General features: G+C 40.6%; 1 long non-coding RNA gene across 1 annotated transcript in view, besides 2 other annotated features; it reads left to right on the top strand.

Annotated features, from left to right (window-relative positions):
- Window positions 1–22,514, top strand: part of LINC00466 (long intergenic non-protein coding RNA 466) — a 158,175-nt gene that overhangs the window by 19,887 nt on the left and 115,774 nt on the right. The window lies entirely within an intron of this gene.
- Window positions 10,240–10,769: an enhancer, noted in NCBI's record as "H3K27ac-H3K4me1 hESC enhancer chr1:63752273-63752802 (GRCh37/hg19 assembly coordinates)". NCBI's record gives its function as "activates a minimal SCP1, AML or CMV promoter by ChIP-STARR-seq in naive H9 embryonic stem cells {active_cell/tissue: H9 hESC(naive)}" and the evidence as "EXISTENCE:reporter gene assay evidence [ECO:0000049][PMID:30033119]".
- Window positions 10,770–11,298: an enhancer, noted in NCBI's record as "H3K27ac-H3K4me1 hESC enhancer chr1:63751744-63752272 (GRCh37/hg19 assembly coordinates)". NCBI's record gives its function as "activates a minimal SCP1, AML or CMV promoter by ChIP-STARR-seq in naive H9 embryonic stem cells {active_cell/tissue: H9 hESC(naive)}" and the evidence as "EXISTENCE:reporter gene assay evidence [ECO:0000049][PMID:30033119]".

Below are 22,514 nucleotides of genomic sequence, written 5' to 3'. Positions count from 1 at the left end.
GTTTTTATTAAAAAAAAAAAGAAAATGTCCAGTGTTTTATTCCCACACTGTCTCTATAATACATTGGTTGGCATTCAGAAATAATTTACTGAAGTCTTACACTAAGTGGCTTAAAAACGGAGCCTAACCTAATGAACTTGCCGACTACTAGCAGAGTTAAGACGCTTAAAATGTTAGTAAGCCCTATGGGCAAGTAACAAGAGAAAAAAAATAATAATGTTAGTAAACCCTAATACCAAACCAGGGTTCCTAGCAGTTACGTTCTAATGCACACGATATTTTTAAAAAGGTTTTAAGGTTTTAAAAATGTATATTGAAAACACTTTTGTCTTTTATTTCAAAATTTTAGCATTTACCAATATCAAACAAGTTTGGGTACAGATGGTCTCATGGGAATGGGAAAGTAAGCTTTCTTGGAGATGGCATCCTAAGAAGAGGGTTAGTTTTATACATAACAAAATTATAGATGTGAGTACTTAAGGCCAACTATAAGACAGAACATTGGCCAGGCGCGGTGGCTCACGCCTGTAATCCCAGCACTTTGGGAGGCTGAGGTGGGCGGATCACGAGGTCAGGAGATCAAGACCATCCTGGTTAACACGGTGAAACCCCGTCTCTACTAAAAATACAAAAAAAAAAAAAAAATTAGCCGGGCGTGGTGGCGGGCGCCTGTAGTCCCAGCTACTTGGGAGGCTGAGGCAGGAGAATGGCATGAACCTGGGAGGTGGAGCTTGCAGTGAGCCAAGATTGCCCCACTGCACTCCAGCCTGAGCGACAGGCGAGATTCCATCTCCGAAAAAAAAAAAAAAAAAAGACAGAACATTAATGATACTAATTATATAAATGTTTTCTCAACTTCATATTTTTCTAAGATATAACAAAACTTTCATTATCCTATATATACATGTATATATAAACATGTGTATATAACATGTTTTAAATCTTGCATTATTTTGGACCAAACGAATAGGTCCATAAAACTGGTTCAATAGCTGAAAATAATGAGCTATTACTAATGGTTTTTGATCATCATAAATAATGAATATTATAATTTAAATGCGTTTTTTCCTTCTCCACTATCTTTTCTTTGTGGTACCATGTGTCATTTCTGAGTTCTCTTTTCTAAAGTACTCCAAAATTATTATGAAGTACTATAAAATTCATGAGATGTTATAAATAATCATAAGAAAATCTGTCTAATTACTTTATAGTGACATGCAACTTTTGATTCCCTAAATAGTACTAGCTCAATTATCCACTTGTTTTTGTTGTTGTTTGAGACAGTGTTTCGGTCTTGTGGCCAAGGCTGGAGTACAATAGTGCAATCTCGGCTCACTGCAACCTCTGCCTCCCGGGTTCAAGCGATTCTCCTGCCTCAGGCTCCCGAGTAGCTGGGACTACAGGCATGTGCCACCACACCCAGCTAACTTTTTGTATTTTTAGTAGAGACAGTATGGTCTCGATCTCCTGACCTCCTGATCCGCCCCGCCTTGGCCTCCCAAAGTGCTGGAATTACAGGCATAAGCCACTGCGCCCGGCCAATTATCCACTTTTCTACAACTCACTTTTAGAGGCTTTTGTCTAGAATTAGAGCCAGCATCAAATAATGACAATTTCTCATCCTTAAGGATGACCAATAGAATGTGCTTTAGTCTGCAAAGGCCTTTCCACACAGAATTCTAAAAATGCTTTGAGGATTTGAAAATAAGTTTATAACCTTCCAAAATGTTGTTTCAGAAAGACAACACTCATCAGGACAAGAAAAACAGCTTTAAACAACACCGATTTTTCTATATCTCTGTATCTGAAATATTTCCCATATAAACATAATGTATGTTACTGATGTGTGTGTGTACATGGGTGTGTGTGTGTGTGTGTGCATGTATGTGTATCCATCCCCACACCACGCCCCCACTGACACACACATACCACACCCATCATGTTCTCTGAGCTGTTGTATACTCTTGGTCTTTGAACTTTCAGGACATCTGAACTCTGGCCATCCACTCTCAATCCTCAGAGCTCTTTATCTTGCACTCCTGAGTTGAGTGTGTTAGGCAATGGATCTACTCTACTGTAGCCTCTCCCTGCCATTTATCCTGTGCTGTAGCAAACCTGTAATAGCTGACAAAAGACATACATGAATAGCACTTCGTTACAAAGTAACAAAGGAAGGGCATCATACTGGGTGTTAAAATGCATTTTCAAGGCAGCTTGAGGTGTCTTCAAGCGAAGGGTAGAGGAAAAGGAGTCAGGAACAGCCAGAAGCCCTTTCAACACTGGTAGAGCTCTTTGACATTATGAAGGGCATAATAAACATTACTGAAGTCTTGGAGGATTGACCGATAATTGTAGGAATGGTAGCACGAGGTGACTGTTACCTAAGGGATGCAGTGACTTCAGGGGATTTGAAGGGAACAATGCTGACTTACAAAAGCATCTCCACAGGGGCTATGCTAAACAACTACACATATACAGATTTAGTTTGCACACCTATTTCAGGAATGCAACCCACCCCCTCCCTTACCAGGACTAAACAGGATATTCATGCAATTAGCCTTTACTCTGGCAGAAAAACCTAATAATAGTCTGTGACATGAATTGGGAAGGTACCCGGATTTGCCATTTTCCTTAACGCTAAGGACAAATTATATAATTTGTGTTTTATTTTGCATTGGTTACTTAAAGTAGTAATCTCCTAAGTAGTGGTAAGTATAAATCAGATAAATGCAGTGTTTTGAGAGAAGAGTAGGAATTGCACAACACAGAGAGGCTTTCAGGGATCTTTCATTCTTTTGCTTGCTTCCAGCTTACTGAGCAGTAGTTGCAGTTAGCATTTTTTGGGTTAAGTAAATTTATAGATTATAATATGTAGTTAAAATAACCCTTAAAATTGTACCTATAATTTAAGCTTGAAAAGATTCTTGCAAAGAAATTTTGTTTTGCAGATGGTACTAATGATAAAATGGCAAAGCCAACTCTTTTTCCTTTTAATAGAGTTCTTCCTCAGCCACAATTACCAGATGAAAATAACGGTGATCTCATTAGAGCTCTTCTCTAACATATTACAAAATAAAGACAATGCAATGGTGATATCATTAGATCTGTCAAGAAATTGGACAAAAACTCAAAATTATCAAGAAGTTTTGAAATACGGATTTATCTTCACCATTATTGATAAACTTAATCCTAAGTATATTATACTTTCAGATAATTAATTCAACACTTTTTTGTTTTTTTTGAGATGGAGACTTGCTCTGTTATCCAGGCTGGAGTACAGTGGCAGGATCTTGGCTCACTGCAACCTCTGCCTCCCGGCTTCAAGCAATTCTCCTCCCTCAGCCTCCTGAATAGCTGGGATTACAGGAGCCCGCCACCACACCCAGCTAATTTTTGTATTTTTAGTAGAGACAGGGTTTCACCATGTTGGCCAGTCTGGTCTTGAACTCCTGACCTCGTGATCCACCCGCTTTGGCCTCCCAAAATGCTGGGATTACAGGCATGAGCCACCGTGCCTGGCCAACAAATCCTTATAGAGCACTTGTTGTAGGTCAGGCACAGTTCTAGGTGCTTGGGGTGCATCAGTGAAATGGGATTCCTACTCTAGTGGAGCTCACTTTCTACCAAGATAATAAGAGATAACAACATTTATACGTTATCTTAGAAGGTGGTTAAGTGCTAAGGAAAAAAGAAGAGGATAAAAGGGTTAAGAGTACTAGGAATGGTACTGTTGTAATTTTATTTATTTATTTATTATTTATTTATTTATTGAGACAGGGTCTCCTGCTGCCACCCAGGCTGGAGTGAATTGCAAACATTATGGCTCACTTCAGCCTCAAACTCCTGGGATCAAGCAATCTCCTACCTCAGCCTCCTGAGTAGCTGGTACTACAGGCGTGTGCCACCATGTCCAGCTAAGTTTTGTGGTTTTTTTAGAGATGGAGTCTCACTATGTTGCCCAGGCTGGTCTCAAACTCCTGGACCCAAGTGATTTGCCTGCCTCAGCCTCCCAAAGTGCTGGGACTACAGGCGCGGCCACAATTTTTAAATATGGTTGTTAAGGTAGGCCTTAAAGGTGACATTTGAGCAAAGATTTTAAGGGAAGTGTATATTTGGTATACTATCATCCTAAGATAAATGTGTATCTTTAAATTGGGATTTATAGTTATTGAAAATAGTATTATGAAAGTGCTGGGTCCATATTATGTACTAGTTTGAATAGCTATATAGAGGAAAGGTAGACTAATATTTATTAAATAGCCATTATGGGGCAGGTACTCATTAGGGTTTTTACATACATTCTGTTGTATAATTCTGTAAGATAAGTATTATCAATCCATTTTATAACCAAGGCTTATGGGTGCACAGTACCTTGTTTAAGGTCACACAGATATGTAGGAAGTAGAGCTGATGCTGGACATCTAATTCCAAATCCTGTTTTTTTTTTTTTTTTTAAGGTGGAGTCTCGCTTTGTTGCCCAGGGTGGAGTGCATGGCACGATCTCAGATCACTGCAAACTCTGCCTCCTGGGTTCACGCCATTCTCCTGCCTCTCAGCCTCCCGAGTAGCTGGGACTACAGGCGCCCGCCACCACGCCCAGCTAATTTTTTGTATTTTTTTAGTAGAGACAGGGTTTCACTGTGTTAGCCAGGATGATCTCCTGACCTCATGATCTGCCCACTTTGGCCTCCCAAAGTGCTGGGATTACAGGCGTGAGCCACCGCACCCGGCCTTTTTTTTTTTTTTTGAGACAGTGTCTCGCTGTGTGGCCCAGGCTGGAGTGCAGTGGCACGGTCTCGGCTCACGGCAACCTCCGCCTCCTGCGTTCAAGCGATTCTCCTGCTTCAGCCTCCTGAGTAGCTGGGACTAGAGGCACACGCCAACACGCCCGGCTAATTTTTGAATTTTTAGTAGAGATGGGGTTTCACCATGTTGGTCATCTCTGTTTCCTGACCTCGTGATCCACCTGCCTCGGCCTCCCAAAGTGCTGGGATTATGGGCGTGAGCCACCGCGCCCGGCCAAATCCTGTTCTTTTTTACAGTGCCCGGGCCTGCAAAGAAGTTTCTTCAATTGATCATTGCTGCTAGAAGAATAGGAGAATCGCGCTGAGGAAAATTCTTTTTTTTTTTTTTTTTTTTTTTTGAGATGGAGTCTCACTCTGTCACCCTGGCTGGAGTGCAGTGATGCAATATTGGCTCACTGCAACCTCTGCCTGTGGGTTCAAGCGATTCTCCCACTTCAGCCTCCCAAGTAGCTGGGACTACAGGTGTGCACCACCATGCTCAGCTAATTTAGCTAATTTTTGTATTTTTAGTAGAGATGGGGTTTCACCATGTTGGCCAGGTTGGTATCAAACTTCTGATCTCAAGTGATCCAGCCTCCCAAAGTGATGGGATTACAGGCATGAGCCACTGTGACTGGCTTGTGTTGAGGAAAATTCTGAGGCTAAATCTAGGATCCAGCCAAAAGAAATACTTTGATCAATGTAATATGTGATATATAACAAAGTGAGTACTAGCATGCTGGTTCTTGAGATGAACATCTTAAAAACAAATGAAAGATAATTTAGATACAGTGATGTCAATCTTGAGCAGTACTTTGAAAGGATCCATATTCCTTATAGCAATTCAATTTGTCTTTCTAAAACATACCTTGGATTGTTACTTTCCCAATAACCTTCAATATTCCACCTCTGTTAAATGAATAAGGTGTTACTGATGTGGCCTCAGCCTACCTATCCATCATCCTCCTTCTCTGCCCACCCCACCTTTTTTAAAATCTATGTGGTCTCCTCTGTCTAGATGCTTACATAGTCCATTAAAATTACCTACATTTCAAATTACAGCTTCCTAGAAAAGTAGAATGCTCTATTACTAGAAATTTCTACACAGAAAGTCGATGTCAGAGATAACATAGAAGGAATAACTGTACTATATTATGAGGCATACAAATTTAAAAATTTTAATTAAAATTTTAATAGAGATGGTATAATGTAGTGGTTATTAGACATCTTGGAGTTAACCTTGTACTCACTAATTGTGTCTGTTTTTATGCCAGTACTCTGCTCTTTTGATTAGGTCTGTAGTATATTTTCAAATCAGATAATATGATGTCTCCCACTTTGTTCTTTTTGCTCAAGATTGTTTTGGCTATTTGAGGTCTTTCATAGTTTGATATGAATTTTAAGATTATTTTTCTATTTCTATGAAAAGTGTCTTGGAATTTTGGTAGGGATTGCATTAAATCTATAGATTGCTTTGGGTAGTGTGGACATTTTAACAATATTAATTCTTTCAATCCATGAACATGAGATATCTTTCCATTTATTTGTGTTTTCAATTTCTTTTGTCAATTTTTTTTTTCAGTTTTCAGCATATAGATATTTCACCTGGTTAAATTAATTCCTAAGTATTTTATTTTTTGTAGCTTTTGTAAATGAAATTATTTTCTCAATTTCTTTTTGGGATAGTTTGTTGTTAGTGTATACAAATGCTACTGATTTTTATATGTTCATTTTGTGTCCTGCAACTTTACTGAATTTGTTTATTAGTTCTAACAGTTTTTTTGGGGGGGAGGCTTTAGAGTTTTCTATACATAAGATCATGTCATTTGCAAACAGACAATTTAACTCTTCCTTTCCATTGTGGATATCTTTTGTTTCTTTTTCTTGCCTAGTTGCTCTGGCTAAGACTTCCAGTACTATGCTGAATAGAAGTGGTAAAAACGGGCATCCTTTTTGTACCTGATCTTAGAGGAAATGCCTTCAACTTCTCACTGTTGAGTTTATTGCTAGCTGTGGGTTTGTCATATGTGGCCTTTATTGTGTTGAGGCACATTCCCTCGATACTTAATTTGCTGAAAATATTTATTTATTTATTTATTTTTGAGACAGAGTCTTGCTGTGTCACCCAGGCTAGAGTGCAGTGGCGTGATTTTGGCTCACTGCAACCTCCATCTCCCAGGTTCAAGCAATTCTCCTGCCTCAGCCTCCCGAGTAGCTGGGACTACAGGTGCATGCCACTATGCCTGGCTAATTTTTTGTATTTTAGTAGAGATGGGTTTCACCATGTTGGCCAGACTGGTCTTGAACTCCTGACCTCAGGTGATTCGCCTGCCTTGGCCTCCCAAAGTGCTAGGATTACAGGCATGAGCCACTGCACCCGGCCTCTTGTTACAGTTTTCTACTTTAAGTCTATGTTTTCTGATGTAAGTATAGCTATACTTGCTCTCTTGGTTTCCATTTGTGTGGAATGTCTTTTTCCAATGCTTTACTTTCAGTGTATTTGTGTCATTGAAGGTGAAATAAGTCTCTTGTAGGCAGCATATAGTTTGGTATCTTTGTTTGTTTTGTTTTTAAGCCACTCTATGTCTTTTGATTGGGGAATTTTATTAATAGGTAGGAAGTTATTACTGCCATTTTGGTAATTGTTTCCTGGTTGTTTTAGATCCTTTGTTCTTTTCTTACTCTCTTGCTGTCTTTCTTTGCGATTAGATGATTTTCCTTAGTGGTATGCTTTGATTCCTTACTTTTCATTTTTTGTGTGTCTACTATAGATTTTTGCTTTGTAGTTACTACAGTTACTATGAAGCTTACATGAACCATTTTATAATTATAACAGCTATTGTAAGCTGAGAACAACTTAATATCAGTTGCATAAAAGTCTCTACACATTTATACCCCTCCCCCACATTTTTTTGATGCTCTAATTTACATCTTTTTATGTTGGGCATCCCTTAACAAATTATTACAGCTATTATTATTTTTAATAGTTTTGTCTTTTAACCTTCATACTAAAAGTATACATGATTTACACACCACCATTGCAGTATTAAAATTTTCTGGATTTGATTATATACTTACTTTTACTAAGGAGTTTTATACTTTTGTATGTTTTCTTGTTATTAGTGTCTTTTTTTTGTAATTTGAAGAGCTATCTTTAGAATTTTTTGGAAGGCAGGTCTAGTGGTGATGAACTCCTACAACTTGTCTATCTGGGAAAGTCCTTACCTGTACTTTAGTTCTGAAGGACAGCCTTGCTGGGCATAGTATGCTTGGTTGGCAGTTTTATTCTTTCATTACTATGACTATATCATCCCACTGTCTTCTGGCCTGCAAGGTTTCTGTTGAGAAATCTGGAGGTTCCATTGTATATGATAAGTTGCTTTTCTCTTGTTTCTTTCAAAATTCTCTCTTTTACTTTGGAGAGTTTGATGATAATGTGTCTTGCTGACACATTAAGATCTTTTTATATTTAATCTATTTGGGGTTCTTTGGGCTTTATATTTTTTGTTTTTTTGTGTGTTTTTTGAGACGAAGTCTCGCTCTGTTGTCCAGGCTGGAGTACAGTGACGAGATCTCAGTTCACTGCAACCTCTGCCTCCTGGGTTCAAGTAATTCTCCTGCCCCAGCCTCCGGAGTAGCTGGGACTGCAGGTATGTGCCACCACACCCAGCTAATTTTTTCTTTTCTTTTCTATTCTTTTTTTGAGATGGAGTCTTGCTCTGTCACCCAAGCTGGAGTTCAGTGGCACAATCTCGGTTCACTGCAAACTCCATCTCCCAGGTTCAAGCAATTCTCCTGCCTCAGCTTCCCGAGTAGCTGGGATTACAGGTGTGCACCATCATGCCCAACTAATTTTTGTATTTTTAGTAAAGACAGGGTTTCACTATGTTGGTCAGGCTGGTCTTGAACTCCTGACCTCAAGTGTTCCTCCCACCTTGGCCTCCCAAAGTGCTAAGATTATAGGCATGAGCCACCGCACCCAGACTCTTTGGGCTTTATGAATCTGGTTGTTTATTTCTCTTTCCAAATTTGAAAAATTTTCTATCATTATTTTTTTAAATAAGCTTTTTTGCCCTGATATGGTTTGGATTTGTGTCTCCACTCAAATCTCATGTTGAATTGTAATCCCCAGTGTTGGAGGAGAGGCCTGGTGGGAGGTTATTAGACCATAGGGATTTACATCCCCCTTGCTGTTCTCATGATTAGTGAGTGAGTTCTCATGAGATCTAGTTGTTTAAGTGTGTAGCACCTCCCCATTCTCTCTCTCTTCCTCCTTCTCTGGCCATGTAAGACATGTCTGCTTTCCCTTCGCCTTCCACCATTATTGTAAGTTTCCTGAGGCCCCTCAAGCCATGCTTCCTGTACAGCCTGTGGAACTGTGAGTCAATTAAACCTCTTCATTACAAATTACCCAGTCTCAGGTAGTTCTTTATAGCAATACCCCTTTCTCTTTCTCTGCCCCTTTCTCTTTCTTTGCTCCTTTAGGACACCCAGAATGTGTCTACATTGGTTTACTTGATAATGTTGTATAATTTCTGTAGGCTTTCTTTATTATTTTTCTTTGCTTCTTTTGTTCCTCTAACTGCATAATTTCAAATGACTTGTCTTCAAGCTACCTGATTCTTTCTTTTTATTGATTGAGCCTACTGTTGAAGACTCTTTATGGAAACCATCAGTTCAGAGTTCAGTCATCTTTTTTTTTTTTTCGTAATTTCTTTATCTTTGTTGAACTTCTCATTTTGTTCATGTATTGTTTTTATAATTTCATTTAGTTGTCTATTTGTATTCTCTTGTAGCTCACCGAGCATTTTAAAGACAATTGTTTGAATTATTTTTTAGTCAGTTTATAAATCTCCTTTTCTGTTAGATCTGGTTACTGGTGTTTTATTTTCTTTCTTTGGTGGTGTCATGTTTTTCCTGATTGTTTGTGATACTTGTAGCCATGTGTTGATGCCTGTGCATTTAAAGAGGTAGGGATTTATTCCAGTTTTTGCAGACTGGCTTTGGCAGGGAAAACCCTTTACCAGTCAGCCTGCCCAGAGATTCTGGGCAGGCTAGCTGGTGTTGCTTGTAAGAGGGCTTACTGCTGGAGCCCTTGGGTAGTATTGTCTGGTGCCTGGATCAGCAGGTGGAGGACCTCACATCTGGGTCCACAGAGTTGGGCCTTGTGTCTCAGTCCACTGGGGCAGGCCTAGAGCTTGGGTCTGATGGAATGATCCTGGATTCTGGGTCTGTGGGGGCTGGTCTGGCACCAGGGTCCACTGGGGTAGATCTGTTGACTGAGTCTGTTGCAACAGGCTTAGATATTGTGTCTGTGAGGGCAGATGCAGAGCCTGTGTCCATGGGGGCTTTCCTGAATCCTGAGCCCACTGGGGCCAATCTGCCACCAAGGCAGGTCTTGAGCCTGAGTCTGCAGGGGCTGGCCAGAAACTGGGACAGGCCTGGCATCTGTCCATAGGCATAGGCCTGGAGCCTGGGTCTACAGGGGTGGACCTGGATCCTGGGTCTGCAGGAGCTGGCCTGGACCAGCCTGGTTTGCAGGTATAGCCCTGGAGCCTCAATTAACAGGGGCCAAGCTGTTTTTAGTGTCTAATATGGTGGGCCTGGACCCTGGGTTCATTAGAACCTGAGGGCCTGGGGACTGGCCCAGAGCCTGGATTCATGGGGATGGTCCTGTTCCCTGGGTCCATGGGGAACAGACTGGAGGCTGGCTGTGTAGGTACTGGCTGGAAGGCTAGGTCCATGATGTCTGGGCTGGTGCCTGGTGTTTTGAGGGATGGCTTAGCTCTAGGTTGGCTTGGAGGCTGGGTCTGTGAGAGTCTACCTGGGGCCACTGGGGCCAGCCTGGAAACTGGGACTCAGAAATGATCCTGGAGGATGGGTCTATAGGTACCTTCCTAGTGCTATTGTCTACTGGGTCTGGGCTCTGGGTCTGCTGAAGTGTGGGCCCACAAGGAATGGCCTGGAGCCTGTGTCCATGGGGGTCAGCCTGGCATTGGGCTGATCTGGAGTCTAGGGCGGGCCCGAAGCTTGAGTCCTTGGGGACTGGCATGGAGCTGGGACCCAAGGGCTGGCATGGTAGGGTGAATTTGGAACCTGTATCCTCTGGGGCAGGCCTGGAGGTGGAGTCTGAGGGTACTGGCCTGGTTCTTGAGGCCATAGGGGTGGGCTTTGATCTACTGGGTCTGCAAATACCAACCTGGTGCTGGGGTGGGCCTGAAGCCTGGGGCCGTGTAGGCTGGCATGGTGCTGGGCCAGTCTGGGGCCTGGGGAAGGTCTTGATCCTTAGCTCATGGGGCCTGGCCTGGCACTTGGCAGGTCTGGAGCTTGTATCCACAGGGACTAGTCCTGATCCAGGGTCTGTGGTTGCCAACCTGGTGTAGCAGTGGGGCTAGAGGCTGGGTCTGTGGGTACTGGCCTGGAGTCTAGGGCTGTGAGGGCTGGCTTGGTGCGGGGATAGGCCTGGAGGCCAGGCCAGCAGGGGCTAGCCTGGCACTGGGATGGGCCTGGAAGATGGGTCAGAGGCTGAGTCTGTGGAGGCAGGCCTGGGTTCTGGGACTACACAGTCAACCTGATGTTGCAATCTGTAGGTACTGCCCTGGAGGATGGGTCTACAGAGGCTGGCCTGGAGGCTGGGGCCATGGGGGCTAGCCTAGTGCTGGGAGTGGTCTGGAAGCTGGGACCTATGGGATAAGCCTAGTAGTGGGGCATGCCTACAGTCTCCAGCTGGTGTCTGAATCTGGGGGGTAGGCCTAAGGTCTGGAGTTGGGAGGACTGGCTTAGTGCTGGGGTGGGCCTGAAGTGTGGGGCTTTGGAGGCCTGCCTGGTGCTGGGTTTTACTTAAGTGGGCCTGGTATTGCGGTCTGAGGCAATGTCCAGTGCTCACTTCCTTCTCCTAATAGTATCTCTCTCCATGCTGTGCTGCTTGTGGTTGGGGGTGAGGTAACGTGGGTAATGTGAAACTGTCCTCCCTATGCTGTCTTCAGTGTGTCTGAGTTCTGTGATATACTTATGTGATATAATGTCTCACCTGATTTTTGTGATGCTACTTTGGTGTACAGATACTAATTAATGTTTCCCCAGGCTTCATGAATGGGATGAGCTCTAAAAAGTTCTATTCTGACATCTCGCTAATGTCACTCCTCTTTCTTGCTTTAGCAGTTATACATTTATGGCCGGGAGTGGTGGCTCACGCCTATAATCCCAGCACTTTAGGAGGCCGAGGCGGGTGGATCACGAGGTCAGGAGATCGAGACCATCCTAGCTAATACGGTGAAACCTTGTCTCTACTAAAAATACAAAAAACTAGCTGGGCATGGTGGCAGGTGCTTGTAGTCCCAGCTACTCGGGAGGCTGAGGCAGGAGAATGGAAGGAATCCAGGAGGCAGAGCTTGCAGTGAGCCGAGATTGCGCCACTGTACTCTAGCCTGGGCGACAGAGTGAGACTCTGTCTCAAAAAAAAGAAGTTATACATTTTATTCTATTATTTTTTTATGATTGATCTTGCAGGTTTTATTACTGTCACCTTAATTTACAATTCTTTTTTAAGACAGTTTCACTCCGTCACTGAAGGTGGAGTGCAGTGGTGTGATCTCAGCTTACTGCAACCCCTGCCTTCCGGGTTCCAGCAATTCTCCTTTCAGCCTCCCAAGTAGTTGGGATTACAGGTGTGTGCCACCACGCCGGGCTAATTTTTGTATTTTTAGTAGAGACGAGGTTTCACCATGTTGGCCAGGCTGGTCTTGAACTCCTGGCCTCAAGTGATCTGCCCACCTTGGCCTCCCAAAGTGCTGGGATTACAGATGTGAGCCTTCACACCCAGCCTCTATTCTATTCTTTTAGTGATTACCTATACCTATATATGTTACTGAAATTTTTACTATAAAATATTTTATACATACAAAATGATACGTATTATGTACATGTAAGTTATTAAGAAAAATAAAATGAGGCCGGGCGCAGTGGCTCATGCCTGTAATCCCAGCACTTTGGGAGGCTGAGGCAGGCAGATCACAAGGTCAGGAGATCGAGACCATACTGGCTAACACGGTGAAACCCCGTCTCTACTAAAAAATATTTAAAAAATTAGCCGGGCATGGTGGTGGGCGCCTGTAGTCCCAGCTACTTGGGAGGCTGAGGCAGGAAAATGGCATGAACCCGGGAGGCGGAGCTTGCAGTGAGCCGAGATCACGCTACTGCATTCCAGCCTGGGCGACAAAGTGAGACTCCGTCTCAAAAAAAAAAAAAAAAAAAAAAAAAGAATAATAAAATGAACAGCCGTGTAACCAACCTATAGCTTAAAAAATAGAACTTTAATAATTTGACTGAAACCTTCAATTTGCCATTTAACCATTCTTGCTAGAGATAATTATAATTCTGAAATTTTTGTTCTTTTTTTTTTTTTTTTTTTTTTGAGATAGAGTCTCTCTCTGTCATCCAGGCTGGAGTGCAGTGGCGTGATCTTGGCTCACTGCAACCTCCGCTTCCCGGGTTTAGTAGCTGGGATTACAGGACCTGCCACCACACCCAGCTAATTTTTTTTTATTTTAGTAGAGGCGGGTTTTCACCATTTTGGCCAGGCTGGTCTCAAACTCCTGACCTCAGGTGATCCACCCACCTTGGCTTCCCAAAGTGTTGGGATTACAGGCATGAGCCACTGTGCCCGACCTATTTTCTTTGATTTTCTTTATACTTTTATTATGTATGTCTCCTGCACACACACACACTCACGAATACATATACTTTACAGATTTTTGAACTTAAGTGAAGTCATACTGTATGTCTTCTTTTGCAACTTGCTTTTTCCTTGCTTTTTTTTTTCTTTTTTTTTTTTTTTTTGGAGTGTTTTGGGGTGATCTCGGCTCACTGCAACCTCCGCCTCCCAGGTTCAAGCAATTCTACTGCCTCAGCCTCCTGAGTAGCTGGGATTACAGGCATGCACCACTACGCCCAGCTAATTTTTGTATTTTTAGTAGAGACAGGGTTTCACCATGTTGGCCAGGCTGGTCTGGAACTCCTGACCTCATGTTCTGCCTGCCTCAGCCTCCCAAAATGTTGGGATTACAGGCGTGAGCCACTGCGCCCAGCAGCAACTTGCTTTTTCCTTCCTCTACATTATACTTTATATTTGTGATATTTATTGAGCTTATTTGTTTTTGGTTTGTTTGTTTGTTTATTTGTTTGTTTTTTGAGACGGAGTCTTGCTTTGTCGCCCAGGCTGGAGTGCAGTGGCGCCATCTCGGCTCACTGCAAGCTCCGCCTCCAGGTTCATGCCATTCTCCTGCCTCAGCCTCCCGAGTAGCTGGGACTACAGGCACCCACCATCACGCCCGGCTAATTTTTTGTATTTTTAGTAGAGACGGGGTTTCACCATGTTAGCCAGAATGGTCTCCATCTTCTGACCTCGTGATCTGCCCGCCTCGGCATCCCAAAGTGCTGGGATTACAGGCGTGAGCCACCGCGCCCAGGTGAAGAATATAATTAATTTAAACAAAGCATATCTGATTAAAATGCTGTGTAGAAGTAATGTTTTTCATGTTCTTAGAAGAATGATGGAGGGAAAAAAATAGTATTTTCAATCTGATTGAAAATCAGTCTTTATGTGATATCAAAATGGATACTATTCTATTTCCTCTCTATAACAGATATCATATTTGTAATTCTGTCTATGTGTGTGCAGTCCTACTTTTGTTAATGTGTCTTCATTTCTGGGTAAAATGAAAGCTGACCTAGAACTGTGGTCATTCCTGTGTCAGAGTTGCAACAACTGTGGTCACTGAGCAATTACTATGGCAATCTGACTGGTCCTAAAGGGATAGTTGTGTTAGACCAAGATCTAAAACAATCTGTAAAAGGCGAATGAACTGCAGTTTCAAACTGTAATAGTTTGAGCTTGTATCAGTATTTAACCAAAAGAAACAAATATGCAGGCAACTTATTCTTGGAAGGATAAAAGTCCTAGAAAACTTTGAAATGCTTCTTTACTCAGTTGCTTTTTCTTAACAATTTTATTTTAATACTGAAATATTGACAGAGCTCTAAGAAATGACATAGATGACTATGTGGTTTCTATGCCAAATAAAGTGGGTTTTTTTTTTTTAGAACCATCAATTTCTTTTGAACTGGCGTAAAAATAAAGATGTTATTTCTTTCTTAACATGATATCCTAAAATATTTATGAGGTGCTTAATTGAGAGATTATTAATATACAAAAGGAAATAAGAAAGTGACAAAATATTTAACAGCAGCACATGTATTGTTATTCTTTTTTTCCCCCCAAAGGGGTTATAGATTTGTACTGATTCAGCTACCTTTTCTAACCTTCCTCGTATACATTTTTTAGGTCGTGAAATTTTTAGCTAGAGTTAGTGCATAGCTGTAAGACAATGAATATCCTGCCTTTTTCCAAACTGATTTTTGTTTCTTTATCTGCATTCTTTCATCCATTCAACATATGCTGAACTCCTGTTCTGTACAGGCATTGTGGTAGGTGGTTGGGATACTTTATTGAGTAAGACAATCAGGGCTCTCTTGATGAGTCTCTAGTGCTGGATAATTTTTCCCCTCCTCTTTCATTCTTACGCTTCTCTGCCACTTTCTTTCTCTAAACTTTCTCTTCTTTACCTTTCTTTCTTTCCCTCATTTCCTTATTTCTCTTGCTTTCTCTCTTTGTCAGAAAATTGCTAAGGGACTTCCCTGTCTTCTTCAAGCTCGTCTAGGCCCAATAGATGAGACTTCTTTCTTTGCACTACACTCTTTTCCCATGGGAATTCAGGGACATTCATAACTTTTGGCTTGACTTAGCTATGTCTGTACCTCCTCTGAGGGAAATTGGTTGCCAGCTGATGAGAGTACCATTTCTTCTACTGCCATGGAGTCACACTCCTCTGCCTTTCATCATGCTGCCAAACTCTGTGAAGAGTGGATCCTTTGGGGAAAGACATCTTCCTGTCTATGTCTATGAGCAATCATTTTTTGGTTGAAACCATTTTTTAAGCATTGGTTTTATATTCGTGTACCTAAATTTATTTCCAATTTGGTTTCATTGATCACATTACTGGCTGATTATTTTCATTTCTGTTGAGCTTCCCACCATGAATAGTGCCGAGTATTTTTCCAGCACTATTTGGTGAGATAGGGAAAGGTTAGGGAGGAAAGCCTGATATAAATTCAGAAATGGCCATTGTCCTATTGTTTTCTGATGCAGTGTAGTAAAAAAAAAAAAAAAGAAAGAAAATTGGTGTAGAGTCACAACCAAAAGTAGGTAGGGATAAGCAAGCTGGGTTCACCTGAAAGCACAGATTAATCAGAATTGTCAAATTTATTTTAGTCCTGGAAGAGTTATTTTGATCTAACCTTGGATCTTTAAAGTTGAGGATCAGAGATGTCAAGTTACTTGCCAGATATCACCCAGCAAGTTAATGACAGAGCTGGGGCTAGAACCCAGGTCTCAGTTGCCAGTTTCCTTTTTCACCAGGCAGGATACAGAAGGTAGGATATAGGAGTAATTATCTTTTGTTACAGATTGATTTGTTAAAACCTCAGAGATTCAGACTTTTATGCTCTTCACCTTGGAATTAAAGAATCTAGTTTCATATGATCCTTGTGCAACCAGCTAAGGTGTTGAAAAGAACTGGTATGATAAAATTAACTGCTACCTACTGAATATATGGTCTGCATTGTTAGTATATCCATAGGTGTGAGTTTATTTTATATCTTGGTTATTGATGTTAGTTATTGCTTAGGGGGAAAATGTTTTTCCCCTAACCCCAAGTGCTGCAGTTATAGGTAAAGTTGGGGAAGGTGAATTTGTTTTTGGTGAATTCAGGGGATAAGTAATACATTGAAGAGTTCTGGATATAAAAACCACAGGACAGAGGAGTTTAAACTTGAAAAAAAAAAGAACTTGAATAAGGAGTCAGAAATTTAAGTTTATCTACTTATTTAATTAACGTATTATATGAGGTGGCTTAGTACAGAGTTTAATCTCTCTTCTTGGGAAATCATTTGATCTCTGGCTTTCTACCCCCTGAAAAGCCAAAAAAATTATTACTTCTCTGCTCCATTGGTGTGGATATTTATTTTCATTGGTGTGGCAGCCAGGCCCCAAAATGGTCCCCAATGATTCCTTGCCTCCTAGTAATCATGGCTTGTAGGGTCTTTTCCCACATTATAGTGGGTTTTTTTCTGTGTGACCAATAGAATATGGCAAAATAATGGTATGTCACTTCTGAGGCTAGCTCGTGGAACACATTGTGGCTTCGGCCTTGTACTTTCTCAGATCCTTTACTCTGGGGAAAGCAAGCTGCCAGGTTATGAAGGTACTGAGACAGCTCTCCACGTAGCAAGGAACTGAGGCCTTCTACCAATGACCAATGAGAATTTGTAGTCTTCTGTCAATAGCCATGTGAGTGAACCATCTTGGAAATAGATCTGCCGACTCTGGTCAAACCTTCAAGTGACTGCAGCACCTGAGGTTGCTTGAATGTAACCTCATGAGAGACCCTGAGCCAGAACCATCAGCTTAGCCACTCTCAGATGCTTGACCCCAGAAACTGCATGAGATAATAAATGCTTGTTGTTTTAAACTGTTACATTTTGAGGATAATTTGCTATGCAGCAATAGGTAATTAATACAGTTGAGAAGATAAAAGTTAAATATCCTTAGTTAATTAATTGATTTTATGAGATGGGGTTTTGCTATGTTGCCCAGGCTGGTCTTGAACTCCTGGGCTCAAGCAATCTTCTCATCTCAGCCTCCCTAGTAGCTGGGATTACAGATGCACACCACTGTGCCTGTCTCACTAGCATTTTTTTTTTTTTTTTTTTGAGATAGAGTCTTGCTCTGTTGCCCAGGCTGGAGTACAATGGCATGATCTCAGCTCACTGCAGCTTCTTCCTCCTGGGTTCAAGCAATTCTCCTGCCTCAGCCTCCCAAGTAGCTGGGATTACAGGCATCCGCCACCATGTCCGGCTAATTTTATTTTTGGTAGAAATGGGGTTTCACCATATTGGTCAGGCTGGTCTCGAACTCCTGACCTCGTGATCCACCCGCCTCAGCCTCCCAAAGTGCTGGGATTACAGACGTGAGCCACTGTGCCCAGTCTCTAGCATTCTTAATTTAAAAGAAATAATAATAATAAATGGAGATTTTAATTGTGAGATTTGACCCTTATAAGCAATCACACTATATTTATTTGGCCTGTATTCAGTATTTTCATTTGATTAAAAAGAAAATTGAAGAACAGGAAAGTTAAGTGGTTTAGTTTTTGGAGGAGCTGGTAGTTGCTGAGAATTGAAATACACTTCTATTCTTTTTCCACTTCTTTTTAAAGTATGGCTCTATTCAAACAGATAGAAGTAAAGATGAAATCCAAAATGACACCAGCAAATTCAAAAGAGAGTTATGGTTTGTGCAAATTTTGTTTAAGGGTAAGTTTTCTGAGAGCTACTGTTTTAGTATTAAATCATTTCAAGTGGTCTGAGTCATTTTATCCTTACACACAGGTCAGTTATGCCACTTTCAGTTAATAAATGTGGAGGGGGTTCAAGGGATCATTTAAGATAGGCCTAGATATGAATATTTTTGATCAATTCAACAGACACTTGTAAAGAGCACCACCACTGGCCAGGGGATACAAAAATAAATAAGATAATAACATCTGTGCTAAAATGTTTATAGGTTGGTGGTGGGGCCAATAATTTCAATAATGATACAGGTATTTATAGGGTACAGGTAGAGTATAGAGGAGGTACATCTAACCGAGAGAGGGAGCTCAGGGAGGACAAATTACTTTCTCAAAGACACACAGCTGTGTGTGGCATCTTGAATCTGTCTTGGCTGTTTTCTAGAGACCTGGGAGTGATAGTAACAGGATTGTATGTTGCCTTCCTGTTCCTTTTCACGTATGGGTAAGGTACTGTCTATGTTTCTTTAAGACTCCATTCTGTGACCTCACTATTCACTGAGATATTATCCAAGCTATTTTTTCTTTTTTCTTTATAGAGATGGTGTCTCCTTATGTTGCCCAGGCTGGTCTTGAACTACTGGGCTCAAGCAATTCTCCCACCTTGGCCTCCCAAAGTGCTGGGATGAGAAAGGTGTGAGCCACTGCACCTGGCTCAAACTTTTTTTTTTTTAAATGACTTGCTCTGTCAACCAGGATAAGTAGAAGGGGACGGAAAGACTAAGAAACAGAAACATTAAAATACAAAACAAAACCCAGGAAGTATAGAAGTTTTGGAAACGAGTTAGGAGGCTGAAATACATAAGGCCAAACTGTAAGAATAAAACATTTGGGGTGTGGGATTCTTTAAAAAAAGTATTAAACAATTCTTCTTAATGCTTCATCACATATTTCTAGCTAGTAGTCAATAAGAAATTTGTGGCAATGTGCTGGTTTGGCTTTAAGGAAAGATTATACCCATGGATCAATTTGGTAGAATCTAGAACTTAATTCTATCAGTTTGAACAAGCAAGTTTCAGACATTATAGAGCCAAGGAACTTCCAACAGTCTTCCATGAATGAGGCAATCTGAATGAAGAGGCCTTTTATAACTTCATTTTGAACTCTGCCCACAAATCAAAGGTCAGCAGGCCCTTCAATTCAAAGAGGCTGCAAAATGCCTGGAGGTGCTGCTGTGCCAGTTGTTGCTCCTGTGTGGTAGGCAGAGGGAAAAAAGAAACAAGGAAGAGGAGGCAAAAGGCAAAAAGAGGGAACTGGAAAAAGAAAAGAGGGAGAGAAGGAAAGGAGAAGAAAAAGGAAGCACTAATAACTATTGTTTGTTGAGCACCACCAGCCACCATGCTAAGTACTTTGCAAACTTGATCTCAGTCCTCACAGCAGCCGTATGAGGTAGTACTGGCAGTACTTTTGTTTTACTGATTAGGATATTGAAGCTAAAAGAAGATAATTTGTCAAAAGTCATACAGCTAATAAGTAGCAAAGCTGAACTTTGAACCCAGGTCTGTCTGCCTTCAAAATCTAGCACTCCTCACTACAATGCCACAGAGGAAACATGTTCACCTATTAGGATCTGAGAGATACCTACCACTGACGATGACTGAGTGGGCTCTTCTGTGGCTGGCCCCTGGATTTTTTTTAAGTTTGTAGACAAGTCTTTAACAGGATAAAGATCCCTTAATTGGATTTGCCTGTTATCCAGTATTGCACACCACATCACATGCTGTGCTTCAGTTCCCTACATGAATCAGTTAAAACCTTCCCATTTAGTCTAATGAACCCTAATTTCAGACAAAGGTAACTGTCACCTTTTGTTTCATCCTGTGCTTTTATTTTTCAAATACCAGAGCCGACCTCTGAACTCAATCTGCACTTGCCTATTGATGCATAAATATCTATAATATCACAGTAAATTAAATTCTATTTTAAAGGGTTTCTATTTAACAATCTGTCAGAATTTTCACAGCATTTGATTTCTGGTCCCCTCTGTCCAGTGACAGGTTTATCTCAATATGGCTTGATTAATGAAACCTTTTATTTGGTGTAAGCACACCTATTATTACCATAGTCTCTCAATGCTTGCTTAGGCAACACTGAAGTCTGGCAGCAGGGACTCTCAAAACTTCTAGCTTCTTTAGCTCCACCAGAACATCGGGTGCGATTAACGGGCTGGGAGACTGATCCCCTCCTAGTGGGGAGCATGGTGATGTTAGTGTCAGTTAAATGATACAGCACTCTGTCTCAGAGGCTTGGCCAAACTCTCTTTTAACCTCTAGGGTTTAAAAAATGTTTCCGACTTAGTGCCAACAAATCCGCCTTTCTCTCCATTCCTACGTTGTCCTTGTATGTCAGTCACTGAGGGGCATTGTGGACGTCTCCCTCGGGAGCCAATAAATTGCAGTGTGCACTGTGTAGCTGAGAAGTGGGATGCAGTCTAAAATAAAATAACATACTGAAAAAAAGGGCCTTAATGAAGCCAAGGGGCCAGGCACTAATAGCTCTTAAGAAATAGAAATGACTTTATGATGGATATTCCACAAGCAGCCTTTTCAGAAAACAAGAGTGCAATTGAATTATGTTTTGTTCTTGACGAGTATTTACCTCGGAGAGAAGCTGCCGTTTCTACTGGACTATCTCCTTCGTGTCCCACATGCTTTCAAAACCCCGGGGAAAGAAATGCCTTGGTTTGCACATACACTCAAAATGTTGTCACTCTGTTTTACATTGCTATTAAATATTTAATAACATTAAAAGTGAGACATGGAAAATAAAATTTGAAACTTATTTGTGCTGGAGACGTTGTCTTCTCTGCAGTTTTCCCATCTAGTGTTTTCTGTACTGGTAAAATGATTTGCTTCTGCCATATATTATGCTGTTTCTTATTTGTACCCCTGTCTCCTGCTGGTACTTAAAACAGTTCATACTTTTTTTTAAACGTTCTTTTTTTAGTTTGTGGTCATTATGACTTTAAGTGTAGTAAATTCCATCTGGAGAATTTAACAGTTTGGCTGTTATTTTTAAATGTCCTGAGGTAGGAAAGAGAATACAGTAATATTAACAGGTATGATTCAAGTTTATAATAAATAATAAAAAAAGATCAACGAAACAAATGAGTCTGTTATTTAAAAAGAACATTATGATAGTTAACATTCTGTTAAGACTTGAATATTTAAAGGGAAACTAACCCCTAAAAACATTAGAAAAAAGTATTTTGTTTACTTACTGTTCCAGATTATTAATTTGATTACTTGAGTTTGCAGTTTGTTATTCAATATATATGCTTACATAGACCTTAAAGCAGAGAAGTTTTCCTTCTGAAGTTTTAGTAGTGAAGAGGAAAATATGACAGGAAATATTTATTGTAAAGGGGTAACATCAGATTTTTATTATCAGTTTAGTGTTAATAGAATTCCTTGTAATCATACTGGAAAAATAAAGTATAGTTTAACTGTACTTTCAAAATTAGATATATGGTTTAAGAATATTCAATAAAGTAGAAAGTAGAGAAACTAGTTTAATTTAAAATGATGCTGAAAGTTAATTAAATAATTTTCAGTAACATAATTAACTAGTATTTGGATCTTGTGTTCTATTTGAAATACATATATATATATATGCCATTTTTCTTCATTAAAAATGTTCTTTTGCAAGAAAATACAGAAACCTCTTAATGAGATTCTGAGTGGAGAATTATGATTCTCCAACATGTTTCTCAGGTTTTAGTTTATTTCACATCATGCTTTTTAACCTTTGACAACAAATATTGTTGTACCATGAAGACAGCAAATCTAAACAATTACATATGTAGTCCAAAGGCATACACAAGAAAATCAATATTTGACATCTTTGCAACTCCCTCTTTGCAGTAGCATTCAATAGCTCTTATTCATTATACACTTATATCTCTTTCAGATTCGGCTTTGTCACTAGAAACCCATTTTTTTTTTCTCCTTTGACTTCCACATAACTTCTTTGCCCTGTACTTTTACAGATGCCTTCTGGCTATAAATACTAATGAAATCTCTTTGCTTAATTCAATTTTGCTGTTACACTTACAGTTATGACCTAACTTTCCCACGAGAGAGACTGATTGAACATTCCACTACCTTATGGATGGGAGCAAACATTCTTACAGAACTGGACTGACAATTTCCATAATTATAGAATTCACAGCCTAATGACCTTAAAAAACAATAAAAAGATCTCTTGTTAATTCCATCTCTGTTACTGACATTCAAGATATTTCATTTTTCACGGGACAACAAAT

The sequence above is a fragment of the Homo sapiens genome, chromosome 1 (genome assembly GCF_000001405.40).
Source record: "Homo sapiens chromosome 1, GRCh38.p14 Primary Assembly".
In the NCBI taxonomy this organism is placed as follows: Eukaryota; Metazoa; Chordata; class Mammalia; order Primates; family Hominidae; genus Homo; species Homo sapiens.
Note: the sequence above shows the minus strand (reverse complement) of the source record. Positions and strands in the feature narration are given on the sequence as shown.